Below are 8,237 nucleotides of genomic sequence, written 5' to 3'. Positions count from 1 at the left end.
TTCATCGAACACCAATTTACTAAAAATCTCTTCCCAGAAGACCTTTTGTGAAGTATTTTTGGTTATTTCTGTTGCTTAGATTTGTATTTTAATTTATTTGTTGCATGGTTTTGTTGCTTCCTTTGAAAGCGTTTTTGAGTTGTTTTGCAGATCTCATTTCACAAGTAGTTAATGACTGGATCTCAACAATAAATGCCTTTGTGAATTTGCTACTGTGATTTTTGCAGATTGTTACCTCACCTCTTAAAGTGGCTCATTTTCCTTTTCTTCTTTCATTCTCATTAGCAATACATCGATCATCAAGGCAGTGAAGTGTACCATAATTGTAAGGTAAACAAATTGCCGAATGTTACTGAAAGATAAACTTGGATTAACAATCGTTTGTGCTAAAGTAAATTTGATTTCAAAATATGACATGATGTTTCAGAGACACTTTCAAAATATAGCATGTCTTAACATGTTTTGCTAAAGTCAGAATTTTATTTATGGTGAAATGTTGCCAAATAAGTTTTCTTTCTAATGTGTCAACTTATTTTTATCAGATACAAAAATAGTTACAAGTTCTATTTCTGATAAGAATTTTCATGGAAGACACAGAATGAGGCCTTTGGTAACACAAGCAGAAGAGGAATATGTTAGAATCATAATATTGAGAGACTCATAAAATCAACAGAAGACTAGAGAACAAGAATTAGCAAATGGTTAAAAACCAAGAGATTCCTGTAAGGCTCAAGAGATGCTCAGGAAGCTAAGCACAAGTACACTAAAAAATTTCAGTCCTGTTTGCTTCTACTAAGGATATTCTGCATTTTAATTGGTGTATACAGGCCATTCACATTAAAAGTAATTATTAATATCTACTATGTTTGTAACAATTTTCTATTTACTGTACTTGTTATTTATTTATTTTCTTTTTTAACCTCTCCCTGTTTTTCTGCCTTCTCTGGTTTTTAAATAAGATTTTATGTGATTTTTCATAACTCAATTTTCTCTCTTCTTTAAAATATCAATCATATTTCGTTTTAAAAATTATCTTAATGGTCGCCAGAGAGTTCACAATGTATGTTTTTAACTAACCTAATTCCACTTTCAAATAACCTATTCTCCTTCACTGTTAGTGTAGTTTTCTTATTAGAGAGTATTCCCAAGTTTTTCCTAGGGAAAAATACTTTCGGCTTTTCATTTTGTCTCTCCGTAGCCTATAATCATTCACTACCTTGTTACTAATATTACTTTGAAAAGTTCTGTATTAGAACTTTTATGTATTAAACATAAGGAAAAAAATTTACCTGTATTCATTACTTCTCTGACATTAATCTTTTCTTTTTGTAGAGCTAAGCTTCTGATCTTTATCACTTTTCTTTTCCCTGGAGTACTTCTTTTAACCTTTCTTCCAGGGCAAGTCTGCTGATAATGAATCCCCTCGGTTTTGTTTCTCTGGCAATGTCTTTATTTCTGTCTCACTTTCGATGAAAAATTTTCATGGATATAGACTTCTAGGTTGGTAGTTTTTCTCTTTCAACTCTCAATATTTTACTCAACTCTATTGTTTGCATTGTTTCTATGAGAAGGCTAATGCAATTCTTACCCTTGTTCCTCTATTACCAAGGTGTTTGTCTTGTTTTGTTTTTCTCTAACTACGTTCAATAGTATGATTTCAACAGACTACTTTTAATCTTTGTCTTTGTTTTTCTTCAGTTTGAATACAATATGTTTATATGTAGATGCTTTGGTGTTTATTCCTCTTGGTGTTTATTGAGCTTCCTGAATCTGTGACTTGGCTTCTATCATTACTTTCGAAATAACTATGGTCATTATTAATTCAAATATTTCTTCTGCTCCTTGTCTATTTCTTCGGCTTCTGGTATTCCTAATATATGTGTCATATTTAATATCTTTGGAAACTGACTACAATTCTGGGATGTTCTCTTCTTTTTATTATACTATTGTCATTATTTTTAAAATTGTCTTTGTATTTTAGTTAGAGAAGTTTCTATGGGCATATCCTCAGGTTTACTGATACTGTCCTCAGACATGTTCAGTCTACCGATGAGCCAATCAGAGACATTCTTAATTTCTGTTAAACTGGTTTTGATTTGTGGTTTGTTTTTATAGCCCTTTCCACTGTAATCTGTTATACCAGCGCCCTCTGTTGGTTTGGCGCTAAGGTGTGGGTGACATAAGTGTTCTATCACTGCAGGATAAAGTGTCAATATTTTTGTTTGCCCATGTCTGTAATGTGACTTTCACAAGTGTTTTCTCCAGCGATATAGCTTCCTCCCTCCTCCCTACCTTTGGCTAGACAGGAATGCTAGAGAAGGCTGGAGTTGGAACAGTGCCCTACCTCTAGGTGGGATAAGACTCTGGTAAGTCTTTTTACTGGAGAGAAAATAGGTTTTTGTTTTAGCGAATGTTCAGTATGACTCCAGTGACTGTTCCAGATAAGGTCTCAGCTATGGCTCTCTGGATTTGCCCATCAGTCTAGATTTCAGAATGGTGGTTTGCCTTGGGATCTCAGTTCTCAGATGGGTCCAAGAAAAATAGTTAATTTCCAGTGTGTCACCTTTTACTTATTGTAAGGTTGTGAATGATGGCTTTCATTTTTTTACAGGCCAAAACTGTATATTTGTTGTTGAATGTTTTGTCTCTTCATAAAGCTAAAAACTAAATGCTTGAGATCAAACCAGAAAAAAATGAATTAAAATTACAACAACAACAGAAAACATTGGTTATTTTCAATACACATGCTATCCTATTTTCCTTTCTCTTTTGGCAAGTCATATTTTGTTCCTGAATTAATCATACTGTTTCAGATTCATGCTTCCCCAGAAGCTACCAAGTACCTCCTAGAAATATATTTGTGAGGAAGCCATCCTTCCCTCCCCTCACACACTTGAAGCACTTTAGACGAAGGCAGGATACATATATGTAGAATGGCTAATAAAAAATTGATAATCACACTTGTTATGAAAAAATAGAAAATATTTGAAACTTTGTTTTAAAACTTAGTTTAAATTATGCATACTCTATTATGTGATGTCTTAAAGTGGTTTTTCAAATTTTGTACATTTAAACAACAGCAATGTCCAAAGAATGACATTTGAAAATAAGAGATTAAATGCCAGCAAAACTAAACATCTCCCAACAGAGCCATGATATTTGACAGTTGTGAAATCTCTGAAGACATTTCAGTTTTATTTATTAGGTAAAGCTGTCACAGTTTGTACACACCATGAAACTCCAAAGCGACTATTATCAAATGACAGTACAGCTTGACATATGTGAAGGTAGTTACAGGAGCACATGAGAATAGATAAATCGTATTTAAAAAAAGAAAAATGAATATGAAATTATGGACAGTAAAGAAACTCTGAAAACACTGGGAAGAGTAATTATATTTTTGGGACACAATGTGGAAACATTCCCATCATAATATTATATTAAATCAATTGTCTATTAAACAATTGTCTCACCCTCTATGTATTGATAAGGGAGTCAACTGTTGAAAAGAAGGCATAGTAAGTTTCCACTAATTAGATATTTTAAAAAACACAGCCTTTTTTTTAAATTCTCTCTACGTGAGTGCCCCTATAAAGGGTAAACCCAGAGTTAGGAGTACAGAGAGCTTTTCTTAGGGGTACTATCCATCTCTTCTTGTTTATTTGTGGTCACTGCACTCCAAGGTCCTCAAACTGCCAGGTATTCCTATCAATTTCAGTTCCTGAAACATGCATACATTCACTTCCTTAAACATGTGTAAATTCACTTCCTTTGTTTTTCTTATTCATGAAGCTTCCTTCATTAAATAAAATTTCTGCCATTTTTTACCTAATTCCTAGTCTTTTCTAAAACTCAACTCATATACCATCTTTTGTAGAACATCTTCTCTACTGACTTCATTGTTAACTTAATAATTCCCTCACCATACTTTTTGTTATCATACTATATATTAAGCTATGTCAAAAATAGTAACTGCTCAAATGTAAGAGCATATGATGGGACAACTGGGTATTCACATGAAAAAGAATAAAGTTGTACCTCATGATGGTTAATACTGAGTGTCAACTTGATTAGATTGAAGGATACAAAGTATTGATCCTGGGTGTGTCTGTGAGGGTGTTGCCAAAGGAGATTAACATTTAAATTAGTGGGCTGGGAAAGGTGACCCACCCCTTAATCGGGGTGGGCACTATCTAATCGGCTGCCAGTGTGGCTAGAATATAAGCAGGCAGAAAAATGTGAAAAGAGAGACTGGCCTAGCCTCTCAGCCCACATCTTTCTCCCGTGCTGGATGCTTCCAGCCCCTGAACATCAGACTCCAAATTCTTCAGTTTGGGAACTTGGACTGGCTCTCCTTGCACCTCAGCCTATAGATGGCCTATTGTGGAACTTTGTGATCATGTGAGTTAATACTTAATAAACTCCTCTTTATATATATATGTATCTATTCTATTAGTTCTGCCCCTCTAGAGAATCCTAATACATACCTTTACCTCACACTATTCAAAATTAACTCAAAAAGGACCAAAGACCCAAATGCAAGACCTAAAGTATGGACCTCTTAGAAAAAAACGCAGGAGTACATCTTTGGATTGTCCAATGGTTTCTTAGTTAATCCACAAAAGCACAGCAACAAAAGAAAAAATACATACATTAGGCTTCATCAAAATTTAAAAAAACCTTTTGTGTTGCAAATTATACCATCAAGAAAGTGGAAAAACAAACCTAGAATCAGAGAAAATATTTTCAAATCAAATGTATGATAAAGCTCTAGATTAAATAAAGAACTATTACAACTCCTTAATTTAAAAATTCAATTATAAAATGGACAAAAGGTTCGAATAAACATTTCTGCAAAGTAAGCATATGAAAAGATGTGCAACATCTGTATAGTTTCCTATTGCTGCTGTGACAAGCTGTCACTAATTTAGTGGCTGACAACTATACAAATTAATTACCTTATAGGTCTAAAGCTAAGAAGTCCAAAATGGTTATCATAAGGCTATGCTTCTTCTGGAGTAATGCTCCAGGGAAAACATCTATTTTATTGATTTCCAGCTTCTAGAGGCTGCCTGCATTCCTTGGCTTATGTCCTTTTCTTCTATCTTCAAAGGAAGTCTCATAGTATTAATGTTGGTGCAAAAGTCATTGCTGTTTTTGCCATTAAAAGTAATGACAAAAATTACATAAATCTGTCATAGTTTATACACACCATGAAAAGTAATGGCAAAAATAGCAATTACTTTTGCACCAAGCTAATATCTTCAAATTTCTCTCTCTTTCTCTCTCCCTCTCTTTTGACCTTCATCTGACTCCCTCTTTCACATTTATAGGATCCACGTGATTACATTAGGTCCATCCAGGTAATCTAGCATAACCTCCTTATTGTAAGGTCAACTGATTAGCAACATAATATCTTTCTACAACCTTAATTCTCCCTTGCCATGTAAAATAACACATTCATAGATTCCAGGGATTAGGACTTGGGCATCGTTGAGGGCCCATTATTCTGTCTATCACATCATCATTAGTTTTTAGGGACATGTGAATTAAAACCACAATGAGATATCACATTATACCCATTAGGATGCCATTATCAAAGACACAGACAATAACAAGTAATGACAGTGATTTGGAGAAATTAGAACCCGCATATTTTGCTGATGGAAATGTAAAATGCTACAGCCACTTCCAGTTTGACAGTTTCTCAAATGTCTAAACACAGATTTACTACAGGACCTCAAAAACTATACTCCTGGGTGTTTATCCAAGAAAGTTGAAATATACATTTACCCCCCCCCAAAAAATGTACACAATTCATCATAGATTATTCCTGATATATGAAAGCTGAAAATATCTTAAATATCTTAAATGCCTGTTCGTTACTGAATGGATAGGTAAAATATGATATATTTATACATTGGAATGTTACTCAGCCATGAAAAGGAATGAAGGAAGCACTGATACATACCATAACATGGATGAACTTTTAAAACTTGCTAAGTGCAATAAATTAGATATAAAAGACCATGTAAGATATAATTCCATTTGTAAGAAATGTCTAGAAACACAAATCTATAGATAAAGAATGTAGATCAGTGGTTGCCAGAGGCCAGAGGTAGAAGTGATTAGAGGATGACTACTAAGAGACACAGGGTTTGTCGGGATGGAATGATGAAAATATTCTGAAATTTGAAAGTAATAATGATTGCACAACTTTGTGATTATATTAAAACCACTGAATTGTACACTTTCAAGTGATACATTTTATGGTATGTGAATTTTATCTTAATTTGAAAAAAATTGAAAAGCTCATGACACACATACCAAGCCCTGTGCTAAGGTGTTAAGTACTTTTCTTATACCCTAGCTACTTATTTAACTCTGACAAGTATCTTCGATGTGATTGCTACTATTATTACTATCACTTTGCAGGCAAGAAACCATGGGCAAAGTGAAAGTCAGTGACTTTTCCAAGGGCAAATAGCAAATAGGCAGGAGAAGAAAGAGGTGAGCCCTGGGATCTGACTCCACAGCTCACTCCCTGAGCTGCGCAGCTGTCCAGCTTCACTGTCAACGTAGAGGGGTTGTCTTACCAAACAAACTCTAGGTTTCTTGTTGCCAAAAGTTTTAGGAGATTTTGTGACCTCCAGTGTCCAGCATATGGGCAGTGATATAACATGGACTCTGAAAGAGAGGAGTAAGATTGTGTTATGACTATGACTGTGTGCCTGTGTTGATTACCAGCTGTATGATTTTGAGAACTTGAGACACATCTGTAACTAGCATAGTTATTTTGAATTGTTTTAACTCAGAAAATAACAGTAACTAGCTCAGAAAGCTGTTGTAAGTATTAAATGAGGTATATATAAAGAACCTGTTACAGTGTTTGAGACTCATTCATACATTAATTCATTTATTCATTCATTATTTCAGCAAATATTTATTGTGTGCCTACTCGTTGTCAGACACTCTTTTAAGTGCTAATGCTATATTATTAAGCAAACATAAGAATTCTTGCTGCTGTAATACTTATATTCTGGATGGAAACATACAGAATATAATAAACATATAAGCTATATTGTATGCTACTATATGTCAGGAGATTAGAAGTTCTGTAGAAAAATAAAGCGAGCAATGAAGATGCAGCATAATGAGTATGTAGAAAGGCTGCGATTCAAATGAGAAGACATTTGAACAAAGGCTTGAAAGAGATAGAGTACATATATCTGGGTAGAGGAACAGCCGGTGCAAAGGTTTTGAGGAGGGAATGTATCCAGCATGTGTGAAAATATAAGGCTGGTATGGCTGGAAGTGGGTGAGTAAGAAAGAGATGACGAATAAATAAGAGATTCAGTCTGGAAGGTCACAGGGAGGTCAGGGCTTGTAGATGAGTGTAGGTTTATAGGCTAGGCTTTATAGATCAAGTAAATAATTTTGGATTTGATTTTGAGTTAAACAAAGAGCCATTGGAGAGTTTTGTTTTGTTTTGTTTTTTATTAGAAGAGTGAATAACTTTCATTTTGGAAAGACTACCATGACTGCTATGTTGAGAACAGACCATAGAGAGAAGACAGTAAGAATAGAAGAGAGGCTAGTTAGGAAAGTACTGCTCATACAGGAGAGTTAATGTGACTCAGCTGAGGAAGAGACTTGAGTATGTGGTGACACATTGTGTGATGTTAGGCTATTTTCACAATACAGCCAACAGAATTGGCTGATATTTTGGATGGTTAGTGGTTAGTGTGAGAATTATGAAAGGATTCAAGAATGCCTCTAGTGTTTTTAGCCTGAGACGGGGAAGGATAGTGTTGGAATTAAGTGAGATAGAAGAACTAAGAATACAGCCAGTTAGGAAGAGAGATTAGAAGTTCATTTTTGAAAATCTTAACAAAATTTAACATTTTTGAACACATAAAGGAACAATTTTAAAAGAACAAAGAAGTCATTAGAATTATCTATTTGATAATTTATAAACCTTAGGTGAATAAGTAAATATTTAACCATAATATTTCTTCGACTTAAGAAACCACTTAGCTTGGTAATACTTTCATAAGAAGAGTAGTAATTTCATTTGAAGATAGAAAGCTGAGTTTATTAAAGCTTCTGAAGATGCTTTATTGTTTTTCTCCTACAAATATTAAAGTTTAATCCCACATACAATAAGTTATGTTGAAGATGGATAAATAAGTTATGTATTACTCCTCAAGCTAACATGTATTACTAGACCTTTTTCT

The 8,237-nt window shown here is 34.1% G+C and overlaps 1 annotated feature.

Moving 5' to 3' along the window:
- Positions 1,897-2,066: an enhancer, noted in NCBI's record as "experimental_75852 CRE fragment used in MPRA reporter constructs". NCBI's record gives its function as "activates a minimal promoter by MPRAs in K562 erythroleukemia cells, with activity observed for both the introgressed and non-introgressed 4:167245852 variant alleles {active_cell/tissue: K562}" and the evidence as "EXISTENCE:reporter gene assay evidence [ECO:0000049][PMID:34662402]".

Source organism: Homo sapiens, chromosome 4 (assembly GCF_000001405.40).
Source record: "Homo sapiens chromosome 4, GRCh38.p14 Primary Assembly".
NCBI classification, from domain to species: Eukaryota; Metazoa; Chordata; class Mammalia; order Primates; family Hominidae; genus Homo; species Homo sapiens.
Note: the sequence above shows the minus strand (reverse complement) of the source record. Positions and strands in the feature narration are given on the sequence as shown.